This window comes from Homo sapiens, chromosome 7, assembly GCF_000001405.40.
Source record: "Homo sapiens chromosome 7, GRCh38.p14 Primary Assembly".
Classification (NCBI taxonomy): domain Eukaryota; kingdom Metazoa; phylum Chordata; class Mammalia; order Primates; family Hominidae; genus Homo; species Homo sapiens.
Window position 1 is genome coordinate 69630350 of NC_000007.14, and position 27724 is coordinate 69658073.

Genomic DNA, 27724 nt, shown 5'->3' on the forward strand with positions numbered 1-27724 from the left:
TGTGATTTGAGTCTGTGGGAGTCGGAACTTGTCAGGAAGACTTAGTGTAGCTGTGCTTCTAAGGATGTGCTATTCTCACAGGCAGCCGTGCTAACCATCTTGCTGTAAACTAGCCACGAGTAAACGTCTGGTTGTGAATCACAGCGTGACCTTTCAGGGAAAACAAAACAAGCAAACCACCAAACACATGAATCAGATTTTCTTTAGTATCAGGATTGTAAAGTCTGGTATTTAACAGTTTGTCAGGCCCACTTGGAGCAGTTGAGACAACTTCCTTTCTCTGTTTTTGTTTGTTCAAGATGTGGAAGTGTATATCCTTCTTTAGCAACATATTAGGATAAAAACTTTAAAGTTTTCTTCCACTGAGTTAAACTATATTAGTTTTCCTAACTGTCATGGACTTTAAACAATTAAAGATTCCTGGTTACCACTCAAGACCTACTGAATCAGTCTCTTGGAGTGGGACCCAGAAATCTATTCTGAAGAGCACCCTAAGTGATTCTATGGTTAATCAGATTTGGAAGCCACTGAGATACAGAATGATAATATTGTATTTTCTATCCACCCATTTATTCTTTTTTTTTTCCTTCTCTGTGGTCCGAATATCCATTTGTTCTTACTCATTTATCCACGTCTTGAGTAGATTAGAATTGATTACCTATAGGGCATTGGTCATTTTAAGAACTAGGCGTAGAAACAAGAGGTAGAACACAATGCCTGCCCCATGGGGTTCACAGGTGGTCTCAGAAGTTTTTAACTTTGGGTTGAGTGTTAAAGGATTCACATACTTCCCAAAAGCCAGGAGCAGAAGATTTTGTGTACACACTTTTTTTTTTTTGTTTTAAGCTTTCATCAGATTCTCCAAGGGGTCAGTGACCCATAAAAGGTTAAGAACCAAGGTCTTGTGCTTGCACAGCTGTTCTGGAAAAAGTAGAAGAGGGCAGTGTTTCTGTTGCCACTTAAGATGTTTTTGACCTTTTGAGAGGCAACAGCGGTTTGAGGACTGTACCTGTTTTCTGTCCTACTTAAAATATTTAAAAAGAAGAAAAAATAGTTTAACATCTGGGTCAGGGTCAGAACAAGACCAAGGGATATGGAAAATAGTTATTTCGTGAACTGCATCACATTTAATGTTAAAGAGCTGCTGACAGCCAAACAGCCTGGTGGTTAGCGTGATGGAGGAACTTCTTAAGCTGGATAGCATAGGCAAGGTTCATTCCAGTTTTCTTACAGTATATAATTAGCCAAATTATGGATAACAATTTTCACCCCATGGATATACATAAAGACTAATTGTCTTATTTTTGTTCCATTTTAGCCCCAGCATGTCCATTGAATTGCTTAATTCCAAAATAACTTTGCCAGCCGTACAGCTGATACATTCTTCTTTATCTTCTAAAATCCCCAAATAACACTGTTCATAGCAAAACAGAGTTGGATATTAAGAAAGAACATCTTTAACTGCTGTGGAAAGTGTTTACTTTGTAAAACACTAGAACCTTGTATGTATAATGTTCTTATCCCTAAGGATAACTTTATAATTGAATTTCAATTAAGGATGTTCTCTTCCTTTTCCTCCTCCTCTTCTCTCTAAGTTGTACTCATTGAATTCATGTTTCAATGGGGAACAAAAATTTTTCAAATATTGTTGTTCTGGTAATGCTGCATTTTAGGATCTGGAGAGGGCAGTCAGTGGGATTAAATGTTATCAAATAGGTTAAATTATTTGGCCATTTACTTTGGTATAGTTCCTCTGGAGCTCAGGAGGATGTTAGAGGTCTTTGTTGTCAGTGAAATCTTGTAAATGTATTTTTAGGCTGTTCAAATGTCTGGATCACCTATTTTGAACTTTTGCATATACCACCTTACATTACTTATTTTTATAAAGTGGACATTTTATCTTTATAAGGTTTTGCCTTGCTGGACAGTGATTATGTGTTCTAGGTCTTTATAGCTTTGCCATTACCCGGCATACTGAGCACATAACAGACACTCAATAAATATTTGATTAATTGGATATGTTGATTGGGTACCCAAGAAACCAGAAGATGAAATAAGTCTGGAGTTAGAACTTGATACATGCTTAGAAAGGTAGGAACGTAAAAGTGGATTATGAGGTCTATCTCTTAGGCTGACGTGCTCTCCTTTCTCCTTCCCCATCCCTCTCCACCCCCTCTCCTCCCTTCTCTCTTCCATCCTGCCTCTCCTCTCCCTCCCCCTCTCCCCTCTCCCCTCTCCCCTCTGCCTTCTCCCCTCTCCCCTCTTCCCTCTCTGTTTTCTTTCTCTTTCCTTTCCCTTTCTCTTTCCTTAATTTTCTTTTCTTTCTGTTCATATATAGGTAGTAGAGCCAGCTCACGTTTGCTAGTTCTTTAAAAATCTTAAGTATTTAGAATTCCACAGTTACAAGAATTTTATGGTAGAGCCACAACACTAAGTTTTCATTTGGAAAATGTTAAATGTAGTGAACCTTGAGAGAGGTTTTTATTAGTTATTGCTTTTATTTATTTTTAAAATAAGTTTCATTGTGTATTTGTAAGATATATAAGATTATAGGATGCATAGAGATAGTAAAAAGGTTACTATATATAGTGAAGCAAATTAACATATTCATCACCTTACATAGGCAAGAGCAGCTAAAATCTACTCATTTAGCATTAATCCCAAATACAGTACAATTTTATTACCTTTAGTCCTCATGTTGTACATTAAATCTCTAGACCTGTTCATCCTACATCTCCTCCATTTCCTTCCTACCCCTAGTAACCACTGTTTTGTTCTCTGTCTCTGAATATTTGAAAAAAATTTTTAAGATTCCATATATAAGTGAGATCATGCAATATTTTTTTTTCTGTGTCTGGTTTATTTCACTTAGTACAGTGTCCTTCAGGCTCATCCACATTTGTGGCAAATGGTAAGATTGAGTTTTTTTAAGGGCTCAATAATATTCATACACACACACACCCACCCACACACACACACCCCCCACAGTTTATCCATTTGCCTGTCGACAGATGCTTAGGTTGTCTCCATATCTTATGAATAATCCTTCAGTGAACATGGGAGTGCAGATATCTTTATAAGGGGGAGATTTCATTTCTTTTGGGTAAATGCCCAGAAGAGAGATTGCTGGGTCATATGGAAGTTCTATTTTTAATTTCTTTAGAAACCTCCATACTATTTTTCACAATGGCTGTATCAAACTACATTCCCACCAACCGTATACAAGAGTTCCTTTTCTCCACTCTTTCCAACATTTGTTATCTTTTTACTTTTTGATGTAAGAGCTGTCCTAATGGGTGTGTAGTGGTATCTCATGAAATGGCATTGATTTGCATTTCCCTGATGAGTAATGATGTTGAGCACCTTTTCATATGTCTATTGGCAGTTTTATGTTTTCTTTGGAAAAATGTCTATTCAGGTCTTTTACCCATTTCAAAATCAGATTATTTGTTTTTCTACTATTGAGTTTTGTGAGTTCTTTATACACTTTGCATATTAACTCCTTATCAGATCTAGTTTGCAAATATTGTCTTCCAATTTGTAGGCTGCCATTTCATTGGTTATTTCTTTTGCTGTGCAGAAGCCTTTTAGTTTGCTGCAGCCCCATATGTTTAGTTTTGCTTTTGTGGTCTGAGCTTTTGTTATGTTATCCAAAAAAATCATTGCCAAGACAAAGTCCAGGAGTTTTTCCCCTGTATTCTCTTCTAGGAGTTTTATTGTTTCTCGTTAGTTAGTGCTTTTAAGAAGGAAGGAGGCCTCACCAGACTTGATTATTATTTTTTTTTTTTGAGACGGAGTCTCGCTCTGTGGCCCAGGTGGGAGTGCAGTGGCGCAATCTCGGCTCACTGCAAGCTCCGCCTCCCGGGTTCACGCCATTCTCCTGCCTCAGCCTCCCGAGTAGCTGGGACTACAGGCGCCCGCCATCACGCCCGGCTAATTTTTTTGTATTTTTAGTAGAGACAGGGTTTCACCGTGTTAGCCAGGATGGTCTCGATCTCCTGACCTCGTGATCCGCCCGCCTCGGCCTCCCAAAGTGCTGGGATTACAAGCGTGAGCCACCGCGCCCGGCCCAGACTTGATTATTAAAAGACATCTGCTACTCAAATAGATGCCACCCTTAATCTGTCCTAATCAAGTAAAATCTTGTTAGTTATATTTGGGTAGAGGAAATATTGTAGGCTAATGAACAGTGGCTGTCAACAGTTATCTTGAAAATCTAGACTTGTAGCCTTGAAGGAGAGGGACCCGAACTGTGAAGAGATTTGTCACTAACCATGCTATATTGGATGTAAACCTGGGAGTGGTTACAGGAGGTGGCTTAGGGTAATATGTGCTGGCATCTTTAAGTATTTCGGGAAGAGGGATTTAGATCCAAGTGGTCACTCCTACTCCCATTGGAGACGCAATTTGGCATTGTGTATAAAAGAAGAGTTTTTCTAATAGTGCTGTGTTAGGGTCCTGAATTCCAGCTGCTGCCATTCAAACAGGCTCACTTAACACTCACCTGGATTATTCTAATGGGAATTCAAACTGGGTATTGGTGACCTTTGAGGGCTCTCCCTCCCAAAGAGACTATGAGTGTGTGATTTTTCAGGGCAAAATGTTCTAAGTAAATCAAGTCATGGTTCAAAGTCTAGATCCGCTCCTTGTAATTTTTTTTTTTTCTTTTTAAAGAACTCAGTCTTGGGTGCTGTTTACTTCATATTTAAGCCCATGGTCCCCATGTGTATTGAACTGGCACAAACTAAACTTGTCTGCTCCTCTAGGTCTCTTCTCATAGTCTGAGTTCTTAAAATTAAGGTCAGTTAAAAGAAGCACCTTGGCATTTTCCTTATTGGAGTTTGCTGTGTGTTTGCAAATCAAAATGGGAATTGATTCAGTCATTTGGGCTATACAGGTTTTCATCTCAAGTCACTTAAGTGAAATCCATAAGGAAAGATGTTCATGCTTTACCTACCATAGGGCTCACTCACCTCTTTTCTTAAATACAAAACAAAAAGCACCTGCCAGTTTTAAGGGACTGAAAAGGTGTTTTATGATGGCTGAAAATACATCTGAGAATAATAATATAGTTATACCTAGACTGGTGATACATCATTACAGTATCTGCGGGGAAAAGTAGAGGGTGGAAGTCTGTATGTGGGGTCAGTCTTAACAAGGAAAGCTGACATGAATGCTCTAGCCCTGCAGTACCAGAGGGCACCTGGATTAATGTTCTGGGCCCTAATTCAGCGTCCTGTCTCTCAGACACTTGGCACTGATTTGCTCATCTCAGAGCTGAAGTCTTAAGGACTAAGAGGAGAGAGGAACACATCATTTTCTCTGCCAGAGGAGGTACTTAAACTGGGAAAGGAGGAGGAGACCTTAACAAATCAAGCCTTGGCAAGGAAATCTGTCATGAATCAGCAATGCCTTGGAAAGCCTCTTTCGCTGTATTTTACAAAGCTAAACACTTGTCGCTACTGACATTTCTCTATTGCTTACCTTGAGGATCAGCTTTAGGTAGCACTATGAATGGAATGAATCCTTTTTTGTGTGTGCCCATTTTGACATTAGGTAATTAATTTACAACTAGCTCAATTAGAGTCCAGCCCATACAGTGTGTACATGGCCTTTTAAAGAGCCTTTGTTTTGACGCTAATTGAACTGGTTGTAGCAGAGACAGCCAAACAATTTGCATTCATCTTTGGCAGAACACAAGGGCTCTCCCTTGGTATGGACAGCCCCATTTTTTATTCCTTCTACCAAGTCTGGCACTAAAGTGATGTGTGCTTATTTTATTTTTCTAATTTAAAAAAACTTTGAAGAGGACAAAAGCCACATAGGTTTATTGTAGAAAAATTGGAAGACATAGATAAGCAAGGAAGAAAATAAAGATCATACATTATCTTTTCTTCTTAAGACGGAGTCTCAATCTGTCGCCCAGGCTGGAGTGCAGTAGAGCAATCTCGGCTTACTGCCGCCTCCACCTCCTGGATTCAAGCGATTCTCCTGCTGCAGCCTCCTGAGTACGTAGCTAGGATTACAGGTGTGTGCCACCACACGTGGCTAATTTTTGTATTTTTTGTAGAGATGGGGTTTCAACATGTTGGCCAGGCTGGTCTCGAACTCCTGACCTCAAGTGATCCGCGCCCCCCCCCCCCCTTGGCCTCCCAAAGTGCTAGGATTACAGGTGTGAGTCCCCACACCTGGCCTGGAGCACACATTAGCTTAATACCAAGAGAAAACCATTTACAACCTAGTATTTTTCTTTCTATACCTTTTCTGTATATGAGGGAATGCATGCACCTGTGTATGTAACTGTTTTCATGTGTTGTTTTTACAAAATGGGAACACAGCATACAAACTGTTTTGTAGTATGCTTTTTTTTCCTACTTAATAAGATGGAAGTGCCTTGTCATTTTATAAAATGTTGTCCTACAACATTTTTTTTTGAGACGGAGTCTCGTTCTGTCGCCCAGGCTGGAGTACAGTGGCGCGATCTCGGCTCACTCCAAGTTCCGCCTCCCAGGTTCACGCCATTCTCCTGCCTCAGCCTCCTGAGTAGCTGGGACTACAGGCGCCTGCCACCACGTCCGGCTAATTTTTTGTATTTTTAGTAGAGACGGGGTTTCACCGTGTTAGCCAGGATGGTCTCGATCTCCTGACCTCGTGATCCACCTGCCTCGGCCTCCCAAAGTGCTGGGATTACAGGTGTGAGCCACCGCGCCCGGCCTGTCCTATAACATTTTAAATGTCTGCATAATAGTCAATTGTGTGGATGTACCAAAACATATTTAACCAATCTGTTATTATTGGACACTTGAGCCCTTTCCAGGTTTTCGATGTTATAACTAGCCTTGTGATATATATTCATGCTACTAAATCTTTGTGAAGTCTTAATTATTTGCAACCAATAAATTTCTAGATATTGAATTACTTGGACAGGGGCATGCATGTTTTAACATTTTTTATGCATACTGCCAAATTGCAACAATTTCCACTTTCAGTAATGACAGCTTTATGTTTATTCTTGATATTCAGGAGTACAGTATAGAGAGTATTGACTCAGAAGTGGATTAAATCCTGATCAGTGATTTTGCTATTGCCCCTGAAATTTACGTCAGCCTTATAATCTTCTGTTCCCAGTATCAGGTGAAAGAGGCCAGTTTATATCATATAGTACAATATAGGTTTACTTATCTTGACTAATATGTGTTATTTAGTTTTGAAAAATTGTAGAATAAAAGCAGGTAGCTGCTGCTGTAAGACAAAAGTGCCTTTGTTTTTCGTAAGGCAGGATTCTGAAACAGTGTTTTCACTATGAATAAGGACCAACCTAAATAAATAGATGAAAATCAAAGCGATAGTAGATGGTTTTGCTAAGTATATGAAAAAAATATTTGGATCTTCTTGAGGCAGTGAAACCCAAGACTGGAGGAGCAAGATGAACTGTGGCATCTTGTATCAGGGGTGGCCTTGGAGAGGCTGTTATACCTCGTGTATGTGGTCTATCATTGACTGAACATTTGTTATGCTGCTCATGATTGTATTTGCAGCACCTGAAAGTGCAGTTGGACAAATAGATGCTCATTGTTGACTGAATGAATAAATGAATAGAATAGATACACAGGAGAGTGAGATTTCAGAAAAAGACCTTTCAGGTCATCTAAGACCCTCCCCCTAATTTTATTTTACTTTATTTTTTGAGACAGGTTCTTGCTCTGTCACCCAGACTGGAATCCAGTGGTGCATTCACAACTCACTGCAGCTTCGAACTCTTAGGCTGAAATGATCCTCCTGCTTCAGCCTCCCAAGTAGCTGGGACTACAGGTGCATGCCACCGTGCCTGGCTAATTTTATTTTTTTGTAGAGACAAGGTCTTGCTTTGCTGCCCAGGCTGGTCTCAAACTCCTGGCCTCAATCAGTCCTCCTGCCTCAGCCTCCCAAGTGCTGGGACTACAGGCGTGAGCCACTGTGCTTAGCCCATCCAGTTTTCTAATTAAAGACATAGAAGTTCAGAAAGATGAAGTGACATCTTTCTCAAGACTAAGTTAATGATCACAGCAGAAGTTGTAGTTCTCTGTATCAATGTATTTCTGAGATTCTCATAGTACTAGAATTGTATGTTTTTCCCTTGATATGGTACTTTGTATGATTAAATTTCAAAATCAATAGTAAAATTTTAATTTCAAATGCAGTATAAGCACAATTTCCCTAACTCCTCTTTTTTTCCTCTGTTTGGAAATAGCCTCAGTTTTTGTTAAAATTCAACACAGTCTTAAACTTGCATTTCTTTTTTCCTTACTTTCTTTCTTTCTATAATATTTTCACCTATCCTATTTCATTCACAGTGGAGGTTTTAATTTACTTCAAGCAGTATTGCCATCTGGATGTCAAAAGACATTGAATTGACTTCTTATCTGTAGATCCCAATAAAGGTCTCACCTGCCTAGAAACAAAAGATTTAGTCAGGAATTGAGGAGGAGCAAAGCAAAGGCTTCACCAGAGGCCCAGGTGCTACCTATCTGCCCACTTGTTCTTTGATTGACAGTGGGGCACAGAGGTGCCTTGTGTTTCTCTAGGAAGTAGCTTTTGCATACAGTGTTTGTTTGGAACTTTTCAATTTGCTAGTGCTGAATAATGTCTGCAGTAAAAGTTGGTTTAGGGTAAACCCGGAGAAAGGAATTAAAGAGAAGTTTTAACATTTCTATTGTTTTTCTTCTGTGACTTTAGCCTTTCCCCCTTCTTAGTGAATTATTATAGAGTTTTATTAAAATGTAAGTTCTGGAAATTAGACACCATGGTATTTAGACCAGCATGGGATACTGTACTCTTAGGTTCCATAATATTTCATAGTACATCTCTTTATTGTATGTTAAATGATAGCGAAGTATAATAAAATGCACCTAGAGAGTACTTATCTATTTTATGTCCTGTAACATTCAGTACTTGATGCAAATGTAGCAGATCTCGATTCAAACAGGAGCAAAACTGGTTATAACTCAAGAGAAAGGGGATAGGCTCATCTTGATGGAAAGTTCCCTGTTGGTGGCATAAGTTCAGCAAAACCATAGAATTTGAGGCTCTAAGGGACCTTTGTAACATCTACTCCAATCTTTTATTTTGCAGATGGGGAAAGAATTAGCCACTGGTTCAGTGTCACTCAGCAGGTTAAAGAAAGACCTGTGGGCAGAACCTAGAACTTAACGCCTGCTCTGCTGTGTCTTTTCATTTTCTGATCACAATTGAAGCATGTGGTCTACCCTGTCTTTAAAAGAGCATACCATTTGATGTTTGTTAGCTTGAAACCTGTTGTGCCCAAGGGCACCTAAAGGCTTCCGTCTTGCTCCCTTTTCCTGGATGCCCAGGTCATTCTGTGCCTCTGAGGGTGGGTTTGGATATGGCTGAAATGAAAGCTGTGTTGTGGCAGTGCTTAGAGAATTGTCTCTGATGATAGGACTCTTTTAAGAAAGCAGTGAAAAAGCAGTAAGGAGACTGTTACTTCATAAAACAATTGGCTCTGGACTTGGAGAAGACCCAGGTGGCGGATGGTTACATCCCTTGGCAGCAGCTGTCTTTGCTATATCTCTTACAGTCTTAGAGATCTGGGAGTCTTTGGCTCTTAATTTTAACCTAGATTCACTGTATGATCTTGGTCAAACGCCTCACCTCTTGGGCCTCAGTTACCTTGTAGTAAATTCAAGGGGAGTTAAAGTGGATGATTTCTATGGCAACTTCCAGGCCTTGAATTATTATTTTTATAAAAGTTTTTCCACATGATCAAGTAACCAAACATGTATTGCTGACAGTCCATTTTATTACTGTTTTGATTGGTTTTCATGAGAATTTGGAAAATGTCTGCAGACTTTACTGTGATCAGGCTGCTAGCAATTATTTACAGAGCACCCATCAAGTGTTCAGGGCTATAAAAGAAATAGTGTCTAGCTTCAGGGAGACAGAAAGACTTCTTGATCTCCCCAGCCGGGGATGGAGGGCATTCTCTTCCACTGGATTTAAGCTCTGTGAGTGCAGGGGCTTTGTCTCTCTTAAGTAGTGCACAGTTCAGTAAACATTGGTTGCATTAATGAAAGAATGAATCCAGTTGTCAGTCTTGCTTATATTTACTGAAGATATCCCACTGAGATTTATTGGTTTCTTCAACCCGTAAATGCTGCTAACTTGAATACATTTCCCAGAAAGTATTCCTTACCTTCCATAGAAAAATGCGGCCAGGATGCTCTGAGGCTATAGGGAAAAACCATAAATATTCCACTCCTTTCTTGAAATTCAATTTAATATTAGCATATTGAATGCCCTGAGATTACCTGCCTTCAAATATTTTGGTTTAACCCAGCATTTTTGAAATTCATTTGACCTCAGAATATTGTTCATTCCACTCTCCCATGACACACTTGTTAATATCCCCCAGAACTTTGATTTGTAAAATAAAAAGGTTGATATAGGGAGTAATAATATGGAATAAATAGAAGCAGCAACATTAGTTAAGAATAATTAATTGAACACAATGGAGCATATACATTAAGTGCTGTTCCTAGCAGCTCTGTGTGAAACTGTGGTAGACTTGTAGATTTTTTTTCTTTTAAAAATGACTATCTATGTCTCATTACAGATACAAGGTTGGGTGGTAGAGAGATTGAAGGAAGTTGCAAGTGACCTAATAGCTAATTTACAGTTACGGAAGTTGAATGGTAGCATTTTAACTTGTGTCAAGGGCTGCCCTGTCAGGTACTGCAGGGGAATAACGATGAAAGGGAGTCTGTGTCTGCTCCTTCTGGAGCTGGCTGTCCAGTGGAGGAGACAGACATGTAAACAGATTATAGCAATAAAGTACTCAAATGTGTAATGAACAGAAATAGGACACAGGAAGGAATGGTATTTTCCCCTGGTTTAGAACAGGGTTGCTGTTCATACAATAAGCCCAAACCACATTAACTGGAACCCCTCTAGATCCTCCAGACAAAATTCTACTCATACATCAAGATTCAAACAACTCGGCCTCTTCATGCTTTCGCTGATCCAGAATTAATTGCATCATCTATATTGCCTGCAGAGCCTTGCTTACACCTGTGTCATAGGCCTTATCATAATCTGCTTTGTATGTGAATTACTTGAGGGCAGGATAGAGTTGTCTTTGTCCCTGTATCTCTGGGGCCTGCAGTTACAGCATGGACTGCATATTCGCTGCTTTGTTTAGACTTGGAGCAAGTTATTGGACTGTGAAAGCTACTCACTTTAAGTAAATTCAGTAAATAAAATTATGTTTTATGGAAGACAGATTGGACAGGTGGTGGTATTATTAGCATTTTCTCTCAATGCTTAAATATGATTTACATTTCAAGATTTCAGTTACATTTTTTAAGGAATTCAACAATTCTGCATCATGAAGTATTCTTTCACACAAATGTTCCATAGTCATTAGTTTTTACAGAACCCTTTTCTTATATTCTGCATTTCATCTGGAATACTATAAGCACAAGTTCAGTTTGGCATTCTGTTCTCCACTAGTGATTGAGTTTGAAGCCCAAGGTCAGGATATTGATTGATGACATTTCCCTTTAAAGTATTTGTATCCATTTGCAATTTGGGGACAGAGTGATTCCCAGTATGGTGCAGGAAATAACTAAACTGGAAGTCAGCCTGACTCAGTTTTGTAGTTAATTTTCTTTGTGACCTTGGGCAAGTCACTTAACCTTCCAATAACTGAGGGAGTTGGCCCAGAACTAGCACAGTCTTCTAATGCAGACATTCCACGATTCTCTAGGGAGGATTCACTTCCATAGAGGTTTAAAAGTGGATACATTTTTAGGTTAAATGGCTTTGTTCATTTAGTTTTTTTCTCCTTAACCCATTTTGGAGCAATAAGACTGTCATGGAGTAAAACCAAATTACCTGGAACTCTCAAAAGGCTGCAGTTCTTATCCTATTTTTTTTATTTTTAAGGGAAGGGAAAAAAATGGCAACAAACAAATTTATATCCATGAGTCAGGACAAATCCATCCCAGTTTTCTAACATACACAGTGTACATAAACATATTCAATGAAGCACTGCAGATTCTTAACCGAAAATGGAATATTTGGTTTGACTTACCATCCTAAATGTGGGAAGAACTGTACTTTGATATATACTTTTTGAGTATTTTTAGCAAAAATTGATATAAGCAGTTGTCTTGGTTGGCAAGGACTTGTGTATAGGAACCTGGCTCCCAGCTCAGTGACGAGTGTATTCTGTAACTTTGAATAAGTCACTGAACCTTTCTAGATGTCAGTGTCCTCAGCTGTTAGATTTGATACTGTTCTGATTACTAACAGATCTGTGATTAGACATTTCCATGCATTTATTTCAGGCCTCTTCCTGTTCTCTTCCTTGAGAGATTAACAAATATACCCACCCCTTCCCTCACACAGTCTCAGGCAATTATTGATTTGTGAGGGAAAAGGGGTATTTTAAAACACTTTAAATGATACATTCAAGAAAATTATCTCGTATTGGTTATCAATTGATATATAACAACATTACCACAAACTTAGTGCCTTAAAATAATACACATTTATTATCCCACAGTTTCTGTGAGTCAGGAGGAGTCTGGGCACTTCTTAGTTGGGTCCTTTGCAAGGCTGCAATCAAGATGTTGTCCTGGGCTGGGGTCTCACTTACACGCTTGACTATGGAAGCATAAGCTACTGAGCCCACTGTGATTGTTGGTGGAACTTATTTCCTTGCAGCTGGAGGACTAGAGGGACTTAATGTTTTTGCTGGCTAGGGGCTGCCCTTTGCTCCTTGAGGCCACCCACATATCCTTGTAATGTGTGCTTCCCTAACATGGCTGCTGGCCCCCTCAGAAGCAGCAAGGGAGAGAACAAGGCAGTGCTGCAGTCTTTTGGAATGTAATCACATAATCATGTATACATAATCATGTATGTCCATCATCTTTGCTCTACTCTGGTTAAAAGCAAGTCACAGGTCCCTCCCACGCTCAAGGTGAGATGATCACACAAGGGCATTGACAACCAGGAGGCAAGGGTCATGGGGGCCGTCTGAAGCATCTGTCAGCCACACCATATTTCAGGTTTTTTTTTTTTCTGTATCTTCCTTTGGATCTGTGAATAAGTATCTCACTTCATACTAAAGCCTCAATAAACACTGATTGACAGAAAGTCTTTGTGCTCATTTAAAACTTCTCAGCTCCACAGAGTATTTGTACCATGCCCTTGTTTTATGGAGTCCCCAGATACTGATGAGGGCAGGGTTTGAGTTTGAGGGCTGTTCATTCTTCTGCCCGCCAACCCCCCACCCCGCCCCCAGCACAGAACTGCCAGTGTTAGGTGCTCATTAAGTGTTTGTCAAAGGATTATAACTGTTGTTCCAATTGCAGCAGTAAGTAAATTTGAAGAAGCTCCCTGATATTGAGTGAATTGTATTCTCCACCCCCCAAATTCGTATGTTGAAGCTCTAACCTCCAATGTGATGGTAGTCCCAGCTACCAGAGAGGCTGAGGTGAGAAGATTGCTTGAAGCCCTGGAGATGAGGCTGCAGTGAGCCTTGATTGTGCCACTGCACTCAACCTGGGCAACAGAGTGAGACCCTGTCTGTAAATAAATATGTGTGTACAGACATACATAAGGTTCACAATTCAATTTAAAAAAGAGAAAGTGACCATCTACAAGCCAGGAAGAGAGCCCCCACCAGAACCCTATCATGCTGGCACCCTGATCTTGGATTTCCAGCCTCCAGAACTGTGAGAAAATCAGGTTCGCCTGTTTAAGTCACCCAGTCTTTGGTATTTCGTTATGGTGGCCTGAGCTAAGACAGGCCCTGTGTTCTCTGTGTAGCAAGAGGCAGGAAGCTAAGCACAAAGGTTGCCAGATAGCAGGGACTGGCTGGCTGTTAGTGAGCCAGGGCCAGTGGCATTTAATTGCAGTCATTCCCATTCTTTGCTGAGCTTTGGTCATAACTATTTGTAGAGGACCCCTAGACTTTTTTTTTTTCTTCCAGGACAAAAGTGATCCAAAACATACTGTCTTCAGTTTTTGAGCATTGGACTACCAAACAGGAACATTTAAGGAAAACAAAATGTTGCTGTTGTAAAGCCTTGATGGTGGGAAGTTATGTAGTGAATTCTCAATTTCTTCTTCCTGCATCTTGTCTTAAAAAAAAAAAAAAACTTTTAAAGTTTTTGTTTGTTCATCATTCATTCATTAATAAGTCAAGATGTAGAGGGCTCAGTAGCCTTCCCCTAGTTTTCTACATTTCTGACTTTGGTAAACTTCCTTTACTTCTGCAATTTCCCTAATTGTAATATTAACATATATCTAAAAAGAATACAATGGTTATGTAAACCTCCTAGCACTTAATAGGCACTCAAGACAATATGACTTAACTGTATAAGAATGACTAATGTGCTATGTTTATTTATTTGGCTTCATTCATTTTGCCAGCAATGGTGTAGTATATATGTAGTATATATTAAAAATCTCTTGAGTAAGAGAGGTTTGGAATGGGAAAAGGAACCAAGAAAATCTCACCATCTTTCTTCTGCTTGGCAGCAAGTCTTGAATTCTGTTTTATTTTTCTTAAGAGACGGGGTCTTGCTCTGTGCCCAGACTGGAGTGCAGTGGTGCTATTATAGCTCACTGCAGCCTCAAACTCCTGGGCTCAAGTGATCCTCCTGCCTCAGCTACCTGAGTAGCGGAGACTACTGGCACCTACCACCACACCCAGTTAATTTTTTTTTTTTTTTTGGTAGAGATGAGGTCTTGCAGTGTTGCCCTGGCTGGTGTCAAACTTCTGACCTCAAGTGATCCTCCTGCCTTGGCCTCCAAAAATACTGAGATTACAGGCATGAGCCACTGTGCCTGGCAGAGTCTTGAATTCTTCAACAGGGCTTTTGAATATTTTAAAGCCACATAAAATTTCCTTTTTAAAATTGCAATGAAAATTGTCAAGTAAAGTGGGTCATTTTTTGACCTGGTGCTTAATTGTACTTAGAAGCAAATGCATATCTGTAAGTAAGGGGAGGACTCAGAAGTGATTTAAAGGGAGGATTGTAAAAGAGTTTGGGAAGTCCATCCCTTTCATTTTACAGGTTAGGAGGCTGAGGGCATTGTGCAATGATGTATAGTCAGGTAGAGAGAGGAAACAGGAATCATAAATCTTACCTTTTGTACAAAGTCAATGTTTTCAGTAATTTTGTTGAAAACAAACATTAAACAAATTTGGACCTGTAAAATCCATTGAACTGGTGGAGGTCAGCCTGACCTAGCAGGACATGTGGCATCTCTGTTTTGTGATGCTGTATCTGCTTTGGGAGTCCCAGTGCCCAATCCCCTCAGTGTTGAAAACTTAGCTCCTGAGTTTAAGGTGGTTTCTGTGGGGTTATGGGGCAGGGGGAGAGGGTTTGGAGGAGGGGAGGAGCGGAAAAAGAGACTTCCAGTCTGGGGCTCCTGCTGTGTTACCTTAGGGGATTTAGGGCCTATAAAAAACACATTTACATCTCTGAATGGCAACAGATAAATACCAACGAGCGTTAATTGAAAAGGAGGAGACCCAATGGACTAGAGGTCAGGACTCTACAGTGATGACTGGTGGCCTGGGGGTGTCAGCTGAAACGGTCTGGATTTTTTTTTTTTTTTTTTCTCCTTCTTCCCCTACCTCCTTCCTGGGCTTAGAAATGCTGGAAGGAAGAAGGAGGGACCATTAGTTGAACTAAGAGGTATGTTGTTTATACTGTTGTTGTGGTTGTCCCTGGGTGGTCTGAAATTTTGGAGGAGGGGGTAGGGAAAGGCCCCCTAAACCTTTTTTAAACTAGTATAATACAACCTGACTGCTACCTGCAGTTTCCCAATTACCCAATTATAACACAAATTTGCACATTTTTTTAAAAAAGCAGGCTGCTACTGTTTCTCCTTATACAAGGATTTTAGTCACTGTACATCTTGTGTCTTTAAATAATGTATTAGGAACATTTTCAAGTCTGTAAGTGCTTTTTTAATGAGAGTGTGAAGATTTTAATGGGACTAGATTGCTTTTCATGACATTTCAGAGTGACTTAATTGTAACAATGTTGAGAGGCTGTATTTTAAAGTTTGCTAAGTATGTCTGTGTGGATTATAGTCAGACACTTAAAAGGACGGATGGTTGGATAGTGGAATCAGATAGCTTTTCCTTACTACTTTCTCCAAATATTAGCTCTTTGCAAATATGGTTATACCAAACCAGGCACAGGTCAGGATTCTCTTAAACCTTTTAATTTTCAGATAGGAACAGAGGCTAATAACAGACCAATGTGGGTAATTTTAGAGACAATTTCCTTAAAACTTAGTTGGACTGCAATATTGGTCCTAAGGCCTCTCCTCTCTCCTTTTGTAGACCCAGGAGGCCAGGCTGTCTTTGTGTATACTTCCTGTTAGTCCCTGAACTCTCTTCCCTGTTTGCTTTAAAAACATAGTGACCTTGACCGGGTGCGGTGGCTCACGCCTGTAATCCCAGCATCTTGGGAGGGCGAGGCAGGCGGATCACGAGATCAGGAGATCGAGACCATCCTGGCTAACACGGTGAAACCCCGTCTCTACTAAAAAAATACAAAAAATTAGCCGCGCGTAGTGGCGGGCGCCTGTAGTCCCAGCTGCTCGGGAAGCTGAGGCAGGAGAATGGCGTGAACCCGGGAGGCGGAGCTTGCAGTGAGCCGAGATGGCGCCACTGCACTCCAGCCTGGGCGATAGAGCGAGACTCTGTCTCAAACAAAACAAAACAAAAAACAAAAACAAAGCATAGTGACCTTGTGCCTCATTTTTTTTTCAGGTATTTGAGTTAGCGTTTCTAAAGCATTATGACTCTCCAGATAACAGTTTACCGTTTTAATGATTGGAATTTCAGACTCAATTTTTTTCTTATCTCCAAAACAAGAAGGTTATTCAGAGGTCTTTTCCTATGCAAACATTATTAGGATTCTAGAACCTGTGGCAGACTTCTCAAAATTAGATCAAATGGTCAGACACTTTCACTATCTTTTTTTTTTTTTTTAATGGTCTTGCTCTGTCACCTAGGCTGGAGTGCAGTGCCATGAGCATTGCTCACTGTAGCATCAACTTCCCAGGGTTGAGTGATCCTCCCATCTCAGCCTCCTTCCTGAGTAGCTGGGACTACAGGCATGCACCAGCACACCTAGCTGATTTTTAAATTTTTTTCTAGAGATGAGGTCTCACTATATTGCCTAGGCTGGTCTTGAACTCCTGGGCTCAAACAATCCTCCTGCCTCAGCTTCCCCTAAGTGCTGGGATTACAGGCGTGAGCCACCACGCCCAGTCTCCTCAGTGCCACTCTTAATAGAAGCTTGTATTAGTTTCCAAGGCTGCCATAACAAAGTATCACAAACTGAGTGGCTTAAAACAACAGAAATAGTCTCATAGTTTTGGAGGCTAGGAAATGTGAAATTAAGGTGTTGGCAGGACCATGTTTCCTCTTAAGCCTATAGGGGAATCTTTCTTTGCCTCTTCCTAGCTTCTGGTAGTTTATTGACAGTCTTTGGCATTCTTTGGCTTGCAGCTGCATAATTTCAATATTTGCCTTTGTTGTCTCTTAGTGTTCTCCTTGTGTCTTTACATGGCCATCTTCTGGTAAGGACATCTGCCCTAATCCACCCTAATCCAGTATGCCCTCGTTTTAACATTGGTGTCTGAAAGAACCTTATTTCTAAATAAGGTCACATTGTGACATACTGAGGGTTAGGGCTTTAACGTATATTTCTGAGGGGACACAATTAAACCCATAACAGAGTTCTACTTTGAAAAGTGCCTAGGAGATTCTGATGCAGCCTGCATGGGTTCCCAAAGCATGATTCCTGACCTATCTGTACATAATTCATCAAGAGCACTAACAAACTTACAAGACATATATGTATAATGGTATATAAGTATGAGTGATATACAGAAGAAAAATAAACCCAAAACTCATGTACTCATCACCCTGCTTAAGAAGTAAAACATTACCAGTACCTTTAAAGGCTCTGGAAAGCCTGGGGTGTTTGTTTAAAACATAGGTTCTCCTCTGAGGGGTTAGGTCAGGGAGGTTTGGAGCAACAATGTGTATTAGAATTCAGTAACTTTAAAAAAAAAAAAAACTCCACGTGCATTTTAAAGTTGGTCTTTAAAATTTTACTTTGGAGTGGGATGGGATTTTTTTTTTCTATTAGCGAATAGAAAACGTGCAAGAAAAGATGTAGTAACTTTTTTCATAGTGTAGTAGAACAGTCTTTGGCTCCTCTTCTTTTTGTGAGGTTTCTTGAGAAATCTCACCTGTACTTGGTATAATTTTCCAAATTAATTTAGATCTCTGACCCAGAGAGACTTAGAGTGATGCACAGTCATGTAGGGGGAGGATGTGTATGTGTGAAGGGACCTGTTATTGATTATACGTCTTACATTCTTGCCTTTCTTGTGGGATTTTGTGAAGATTAATATCTGCCAGATAGGTTTAAGTTTGCAAAATGCCTTGAGTTCCTTGGGGGAAACTGTTACATAAATGTAAATAAATTATGCAGCACCTGAATTTGGTTGTTCATCATTTTTTATAGTGTGTTTTAATTAAGAACTTAGTGCTATTTAAGTTGGATGGCTGGGGAGAGGGTTTAATCACTCCAAGATGGTTAAGTAAGTAGGTAGGAGCAACATTTAGGCTGGAACCCATGGAGGAATAAATGAACAAGACTGGAGACCAGTCATTTTCCATGGCATTTGCTGAGCGGAGCTGTGGATTAATGTCTCTTCTTGTACGTGTGTACATGGTGCTGTTAGAAAATCAGCCAGTTTTTCACTACACTTTGTCTCGGACCTGTAGATACCTTGGACCTCTCTGGTTTTCCTGAGTAAGCTGGAAACCCTAACAACAGCCAAAACAAAACAAAAACGGAGTTTGTCTTACAGTCTAGGTACTTGGGGAGCAAGAGGCATCCAGCAAACTGCATTGGCTTTTGGTACACTGTGTTTCTGTAGTCCAATGAGCTGGGTTCCAAACTACCTCCTTTTGCCTGTTACATACAGCTTTGTGTTCCAGTGGATGATACTGTTCCTTAACTCTTAAAGAGTGGACATACGAAACAGTTGCCAACAACCCGTGGTCCAGTTGTGCCTCCTTTGTTTGCTGCTTTGTCAGAGTCTCACTGTATGCTTTTTTTTTTGGCCTTTGGCGCTGTGAGCAGAGTCACCTCATCCTCCTTTCCGTGGCCAACTCAAAGACTTACAACCTTTCTCCCTCATTCCTATGTATCTACAGAACACTCACTAGTTGCTAACTAGTGGATACATGTGAATTATGTTTTGATGCCATAGGGCTGTCTAGTGGAGGATACAAACATTAAAAAAAAAAGCTAAATCCAGCAAATAGCTATAATTAGATGAGGGTTATAGAGAATAACCACAGACTCTTTCAGAGCATATAAGGAGGCGAATCTAACCCAGTCTCGGATTCTGGCAAATTGCTTCTGAAGAGTGACTCTCAGCAAAATCTGGAAGGATCACTGGGAAGAAATTAGCAAGGAAGGAGGAAGAAAAGAGAACAGTGCCTTCTAAGAAATATACCATGAAGTCATTTTTTTCCTATTCCTTTCTCTGCCCTTTTCCTTCCCCACACAGTCTTATGCAGCAGCACAATTTTAGCCATCCAAACTGGGCCAGTTGTTTTGTTACACTGTGGATGGTTGGAGATTGAGAGCTATGGGAATGGGTAGGAGTTAAAAACTGAATATAAATTAGGTGACAAGAGATGGCAAAATCATTTATTGGGATGATTAACTTATTAAATTGGGCTATTCCCATGCTGTTTTTCTAAAATTGTGCTCTGATGGCCATTTTGGAAGCCTGGTACTACCCACAGACTGGAGTATGTCCTAAGTAGGTTAAGAGCTTGGGAAAGATGCTTGCTGAGGGAGGGCCTTCTTTGTACTCTTTCTATCAATAAGAAATAATAAAGAGTTAAAGCATCGTTACATTTTAGATATACTTTCTCAAACTGCTGACATCAGAATTGCCAGGAGCCTGTTAAAAAGGCACTTTCTGTAGCCTTCCTATCCCAGGCCTTCTGAATTAGAATCTTAGCAGTAGGATTCCTGGCCACTGTAAAGTACTCTATTGAAGGCGTGGATTACCAGTGGGTTATTCAGAGGAGAACTTTCATCATTTTAGCCCCGTGGGTCCCTGCCTGATTTCCTGCCATCTCTCACTACCAGGACCAGCTATGTAATTTGTGAGGCCCCTTATTTAAAAAGAAATATTAGGAATTTCGAGACAGTGATGGTAGAGCATTAAACCAAGTATGGGGCCCTTTCTGGATGTAGGTCCCTCTGGGATTGCACGGGTTGCAAGCCCATGAAGATGTTCTTGTTCACCATTCCTGTTTGCCTTTTTAAAATGCTCCTGCAGTAATGAACTGCTTATTGCTCCCTGTGCATGATACTGTTTTTTGCCTTTGTCCCTTGGGTCTCACTATGTGGCATGCTGTGTTTCATCTCTTTTCTGTCACCTGGGCTTACCTCAGTTTTTGCACATACTGCGTTAGAATCCTGTGCAAGTCGCCCGTGCTATGCTGTGTGCTTTGAGGGCCCGGATCTGCTCTTCCTCATCTTTATATTCCCTGCCCTTAGCTGAGGCTCTGCCTTGGTCTTCTGTTAAGTGTGCTGAAAGGGATACTTTTTTAACCTGAATCTTTTCTTAAAACCTAATTAGGTTATAGGCCATTGGGAATGCAGATTTGGTTCAGAGTGAGGAGTTGGAGGCTGTGTTGCCCTAGTAGTGTCGTGAGGACTGCCTGGGCGTGACTGGTCTGAGACAGTGTGAGGAACGGGGTGTGAAACAAACTTATGACATCTCTGGCAAGTAGTGCATACTCTGCTGTTGACACCTTTGATAGCTGCTACCCTCTGATAACCAGTGTTTTTTTTTCTGGATCTCTCATTGAACTCTGAGTTTCTGGGAACAGCAGATTTTTCTGAGCCACAGGTTCAGATGTGTTAGCAGAACCTGAGGAAATGTTTCTTGCACCAGGAAGGTGGCCATTTTACTCCGTGGCTAATATTTGGAACTAGTCATTTCTGGATTGTTTGAACTAGCGTGTTCTGGGGAATTCCCCAAAGCTGGACGCACTTGTTAAATGAGGTTATGGCTCTGTGGGGTGAGAAATAGACCCGCCTACTATACTTAAAAGGACTGACTGTGTTTCTGCCTTCAGGTAACCAGAGGTAGTTATGAATTTGGGTGAAACCTCTTCATCTCATGATAGACTAGCAACTAGAGGTTCAGAGAAGTTACACAGAATATTCAAGGTTGATTCAGATAGTGACTGAATTGGGACTAGAATCCATGGTTTCTATTCTGTGGATTTTGAGTAAGATCACTAATCAACATGTGAAATCTTCCTTGTGTCATTCAATTAGAATTTAAGTGTCAAATGGATGGTAAAATCATTTCTTAGCTTATGTAGATCATAAAGATTAGCAAATCAAGGCAGAAAAAGACCCCCACACATATTTGTTGCCAGGTCTGCACTAATTTCTGGATAAAGGTTAGTATATATTTGGTCTACAGGGTGTGATTTGAGTGTAAGTTTTTTCTTTAGTTTTTAGATTATTGTTCAAAGTCCCCACTGACAGAATGCAGGGAGACAGCCTTGATTAGATTAGGCCAGATTAGATTAAATCGAATGGTTAAGGCCTTTGGAGCCTCCAGCTTGTAGGAGACACCATAATGGCCTTCATAGCGTCCTTAAATCCTATTAGGTAAGTTAATCTTATTGAAGATTTCAGGTCTGCATAAAGCAGTATTGCTCTTATACTCTCTATGGTGGGCTCTGCTTGTTAAGGTGAGCAGGCATTTTAACTTTCCGGGAATAAGTTGGTTTTATTGGTTTGGGGCAAGTTAATCTAAATAACTTGAAAGTAGACACCTGTGCCTGATAGAGAGGCCATTCCATGTAGCAAAATAGGCTGTCTCCTGGCTTCCCCTTTGCTTGGTGGCTGTTAGTACCTGTGACAGGGATTTTTTTTCTTTGCCCTGATTTGGGGAAAGAGAGTCAGGTGAGATGTGTAATAATAATGTACGGAGACAGTAGTATGGTTATGACACTGAGGCACTACTAGATATTGAGAATAAAGCACTTTGGAACTTAGGAGCTGGAAGCATTCTTAGCTGTCATTTTTTGAGTGTTTATAGTTTTATTATAGGTGCTAGTTGGCTCTTGCCTGTTTCTACAGGTGCAGTGACCATTTTTCTGAAGCAAAATATTCTTGTTGTCACAGGCTTTTCCTCAATTTGTGAATTTATGGACCTGCAAAGTTTTACAAACACATGAATTATGTCAAATTTTGTAATGTCTTTTGAAAAAAAGGGGGAAAAGTGTAAGAAATTTAGACCATGTAGGTCTGAAAGTATGCTTACTACATCGATAGTGGGGGCTGGAGGAACTGTGAAAAAAGTAATAGTAAATTTCCTTTTTTAGATCTTTGCCAAAGGTAGTTTTGTTAGATATAAACAACTTCAAGACCCACAAGTGACTACTACACACTGGATTGGCCTTCAGAGATACTGGGATTTTCTTTCCAAGTATCTTTAAAAATGAGGTTCGTAGTGCTTTAGCTAGGAGGCTGAGTGCCCACTATTAAGATCCTGTGAGTTAATTGGTTTGGTTCACAAACTAACTCATATTGCAGTGTATCTGGCTGTTTTGTGGCTGGGAGAAGGTTCCTGCATTGAAGGGACTGAAGTGACACTCTGACCTTGGGACTTCCAGTGCTGTTGTGGAGTGGGGACTTCCTTCTTCATGTGGGCTTGCTGGCTCTTCATTTATTGTCCCACCTGGGCTCTGCCTGTTACTCTTCTCAGGCCAAGAAGTGAGTTAGGTTCCTTATTTAACTTTTCTAATGGGGCAGCTCTGCATCTGTGTCCTGTCCCCAAAGACTAAAGAGAAATTTCAGGTGTGGGCCAGATTATGGAGCCTGAAGAACAGTTTTATGATTGATTAATGGTTTTGATTTGCTTTTAGGAAGAAAAGTGCAACTAGCCCATTGGATGAAGATAGTATCTCTCTCCAGCACTCCTGTATCAAGTGTACAGTGTTCTCTTCCTGTATAGCACTTGTATTTTCAAGAGCTAGGGTCATTGAGAGAACACTTCTCACTCATGAGTTTCAGAGCGTAGCAGAGTACACACACCTGAAGCAAGAAATGTAATTTTCTCTAAGTGTACTAAGAATTACTTTAATTCTCTGTATGTGCATGCATGTGCCCACATAATGGTGGTGGGTTTGGTTTTTTTTTTTTTTCATGCTCCTTGAGGAGAAATAACCCGTTTTTTGCTTTTATTGATTCACGATTACCTACTTTTCAGGGTTACCTTTGTTAGGAAGCAGCTGCTGGAAGAATGTGTGCTCATTTTGTACTTGTGTCCTTTACTTCTATGTCCTCTCTGACCTGAGGCTCACCCTGCCTGCCACCTCCTCTGCATCAGCCCAGCTTTGTTCTTCTGGGCCTGTTGTTTCCACTCTATGAAGAGACCTCCTTACTTCTCTCTGTCTCTACTTAGTATCCATTTCTGCTGAGGCAGATCCAGATGGGCAGAGGTTGGGGAGGGAATTTGAATGAGGGGAAAAATTGGATCAGTTAGGGGAAATTTATAAAACTTCTGTATTCTGTGCTAATAGTTCTCAGATGCTTTGGAATCATAAGACGGGATGTTGGTCTGGCGACCTTTGAGAGCTGCTCTTAACCAGCCAGTGGACAGCTATGCTTGCTTTTTCTTCCTGTCACCATCTCTGCTTTTCTTGCCCAATTTGCCAGGAAGAGTCCACCAATTCTTCATAAGCCCACTTTTTATTCTCTCTTTTGAAGTCATCTTGATTCACTTCCTACACCTGCAGCCCCCAGTCTTGCTTGATCTAGCTCCTAATCTTCTGCTTCCCTTTGGGACAGAGGAGAAGCTGCTCTCCTCGCCATGCTTTGCTGACATCTCCAAGGGGAAGGAGAGCACAGGCCCTTTCATATCCTGCCCCAGACCTTCACAGGGAGCAGTAATAATGCCTAAACCTTATTGAGTACTTAACATGTGCCCAGCACTGTGACAAACACTTCACACAGATTATCTCTTAAAATATTCAGGCCAGCCCAGTAAAGTTTATGTACTGTCATTGTCTGTCTTCAATTTGCAGATGAGGAAGTTGATGCTCAGGGAGGTTCAATAACATGCCATTATGTACACAGCTGAAATGAGTGATGCAATCAAGATTCAAACTAGGCAGCCCAGTTCCAGGGCTCTTGTCCAACTACTCAGGGAAAGGTTTTCGAGGTCACTGCCAGGATAGCTGGACTTGTGACGGTTTTCCTGTTTGAGATATCTACCCTTTTACATCAACCTAAGCACTTACTGTCTTTATATTTTCAATGAACTAAGTGGGGTGTTCTGGGTGGTCTTTGATGATGGCAACTGTGTGTTTTAAAGAACCAGAAAGAAAAATGTTTAGAGGTGGGCTTCTTTAGCTGTAGTCCCTCTTGACTGTGTGGTCAAATAATAGGGCTCCTGACAAGGAAATAAGGCTATAAGTGCTCTTGCTTTGTAAAGATTAGTTAATTGGTAGAGGTTGTGTTTCTGTGGTTAATTTGTGCTCCTGTCTTAGCAATACATGAGTATCCACAGGCAGCAAGTGTGTCGCCCAGCAGCCCCATAAAACAAGGCACTCTTCAGCACCAGCATCAGTTGATGCACCTGAATAACAATAGGGAAGCTTGTTGACCATTTGGCACTTCACAGCCTAGTAATTAGAAACTGTAAAACAATAATACAGACATGAAGCAAATCCTCCAGTTAATGAAAAAAAAATCTACAATCTTGCATTGTGGCTGAGTGCAAAATCACAACCGGCCGCTTATACAGCAAAGCAAACACTTCAGGATTTTGGCAGCTGTTTTGTGGATATAAAAAGCTCTAGGCTCTGTATTAATTTGGGGCCTGTCATATTTTTTAAAAACTGAAAACAATTACCTGACTTTCTAGTTTTTTGTTGTTGTTGTTGTTGTTGTTTTTAATTTACTGCAGTGGTTCTCAAATTATGGTCCCCAGTCCAGAAGTGTCAGCGTCATCTGGGAACGGTTAGAATTGCAGATTGGTGGGGCCCACCCCAGACCTACTGAACCAGAAATTCTGGCAGTGCGGGGCACAGTAATTTGTTTTTACAAGTCCTCCAGGTGATTCTGATGGACTTTAAAGTTTGAGAAACACTGAGGGTGTGGGAAGGGTAATTTGGGGGAAGGGAAGTGGAGTCCCCTCTTGGCCCCACCCAGAGATGAGCTTCTCTGTCTAGTGGTGGGATAGTTGGCTTGAGATGTGATATTGAGAATATATGAAGGCTCCCTACTGGGTCAGGAAGTTGGGGGAGTGTCTCAGGGGAGGGCCGTGCCTTCCTGGGGACCTGTTTAGGAGAAGGGTCCTGGGCAGTAGCTTGTTACTAGCCTTTCGGGAACAATTTCAATGTTTCAGTCACCCTCTGGGCTGTTGTACTATTGCAGTCAGCCCTGCTAGGCCCACAAGTTGTATGGGGCAGAGGAGAAGAGGCATGGGGACAGAAACCTTATATCCCAGGCAAAGCCTTAGCAATGCTGCTGATGTCATATGCTCATCGTTGTCAAGAATTGAAAATTAAGATAGTGATGAGGTGGTGGCAGGACAAATTTCTTCTTTTCACTGTATGTCCCCTTTCTCTTCTGGATCTCATTTCCCTGCCTCCAGCTATCTTGGCAGATGGGATTATTTAATAATTTTCTTGGGGCCTGTTGGCAAATGGCCCCTCTGCCCCTTCCCCAGTGTGTGGTGACCACAACAGTGACATAGCTTCATTTCACAGCCATTAGGAATCTTGACGCAGCTGACCCCTAGATCTCCTGGAAAGGCCTCTTGGGAAATATAAGCTTGCCACCAGAGTGAAGTGAATTCTCGAGTGGTATTACCACAGAGGCTCAGGTTCCTGATGCTCCTTGGAGTGCTAGGTTAACAGTCTCTCTGTTGGGGAAAAACTTGATACAAATAGAAGATTTGCTAATTTTGCTCACATTTCAAAATTGTTTAATTTGCTTACTTTTTTTTTCTCTTTCAGACTATTGGGTTTTATCTATCATTCCTTTTATTTTACAAAAAAGAACATAGGGCATGTTGGCCAGATAATGTATCCTGTTTTTTGATTTAATCACCCAACATAGCATGGGAATAAAAAGCTGAATGAGATGTAGCCTTGCTCCTCCCTGACATTGAAGAGACTGGCTTCTGGGAGAGGAAAATGACCAAGAAAAGAACCACCCAGATCTTGGGTTCAGTTTATTCTCTCTGTATTTTCAAGTGGCAGAACTTGCTTGAATATGTGAATTTGATGTTGGATCACAAGCCCAACATGTGGCTTCTGTGGGCATATGTAGTTATTTTGGATTTTATTTTATTTTAAAGGGTCTGTGTCCTGTTGGCTTTTAGGAGGTGATAGTTGCTGATTCTCCTTTCATGTGACATTCAGGGCTCATGGAGAAGTCAAAGGCTCACACTGGTGTTCACCTTCCTGGACTTCAGGAAAGATAGTCCTTTTGCCAGATGAATGGGAGGATCTAAGTCTGTTAGATTTCCATGAGTCGTGCAGCCTTTCTGGATCGGGACAGGAAGACTGACCCACTGTCCTTCCCAGGCTGCCTGCCGTTCATCTTGCTTTAATTAAATACACAGCTGATGATGTCAGCTTGGCTCCCGGCTCCTTCAGCTTTCCCCTCAGAACAAAACATCCGGGCAGACAGTTGTGACAATTAAGTCTCAAGACCCAAGCTTAGTTTGTTCTGAGGTAGTTAAGATAAATCTGCCTAAGCATCTCCAAATGCAGATAAAACCTAGTGCTGATTAGAGGTGACCCTCTAATAAACCTGATTTGATTAGGCAGAACCAGCGAGGTGCAGGCAAATATTTGAGACTCTGGCCAAGCTGATATTCCATTGACCTTTCACTTAGGGGAAAAAACCTGTTTGATTTTTTTCCTATCCCAGAGTACTTGAAAATTATTACCTATGGCAGCTAAAGCACTAGGGCGAAATAAACAGGTGAGACCTGTGGACTTGCCCTTAAGAGTCGCAGTCAGCTACCACCTGGGTTGTGCTTGCTTCCTGGCAGATCAGTGGAGAATGGATTTTGCCGGAGGTCCTGGCCTGGAATGATAATTAAAAAGGATGTTTCAGAACACACCCAGGTGCGTTCTGATAAAGCCTGAGCAGATGTGGGTGGTGAAGGATTTTTTTTTTAAAGTCAAACTTTGTTTATAAAGGTAACTTCTAACAATTTATTATAGAAAAGTCAAACTAGAATTGCATTAGTTTGTTTATATCAAGACCTCATTAGAAATTAAGGAGAAATTTCCTTAATTGCTCCATCTCTGGCTCCTGTAACAGTGGGCATACTTCTCTTCTTAGCATTTATCACATTGTTCTGTAATTGTTGGTTTACCTTCCCTTTTGTCTTAAAAAGCAGGGAAATTGTATAATTATTCTTGATGTTGCTCAAATGCTTGGCACCTGGGCCAGGTACAGGGATTGGCAAAGTTTGGTCCACAGGCCAAACCAGGCCACTACCTGTTTTTATGCGGTCATGAGCTAAGAACAGTTTTTGCCTTTTTAAATGATTGAAAACAAATCAAAGGATATATATTTCATGCCACGTGAAAATT

General features: G+C 40.8%; 1 protein-coding gene across 17 annotated transcripts in view, besides 1 other annotated feature; it reads left to right on the forward strand.

The window, feature by feature from the left end:
- The window catches only part of AUTS2 (activator of transcription and developmental regulator AUTS2), a 1195032-nt gene that overhangs the window by 31875 nt on the left and 1135433 nt on the right, over positions 1-27724 (forward strand). The window lies entirely within an intron of this gene.
- Positions 20897-21026: an enhancer, noted in NCBI's record as "active region_26095". NCBI's record gives its function as "activates an Ori minimal core promoter by ATAC-STARR-seq in GM12878 lymphoblastoid cells {active_cell/tissue: GM12878}" and the evidence as "EXISTENCE:reporter gene assay evidence [ECO:0000049][PMID:35858748]".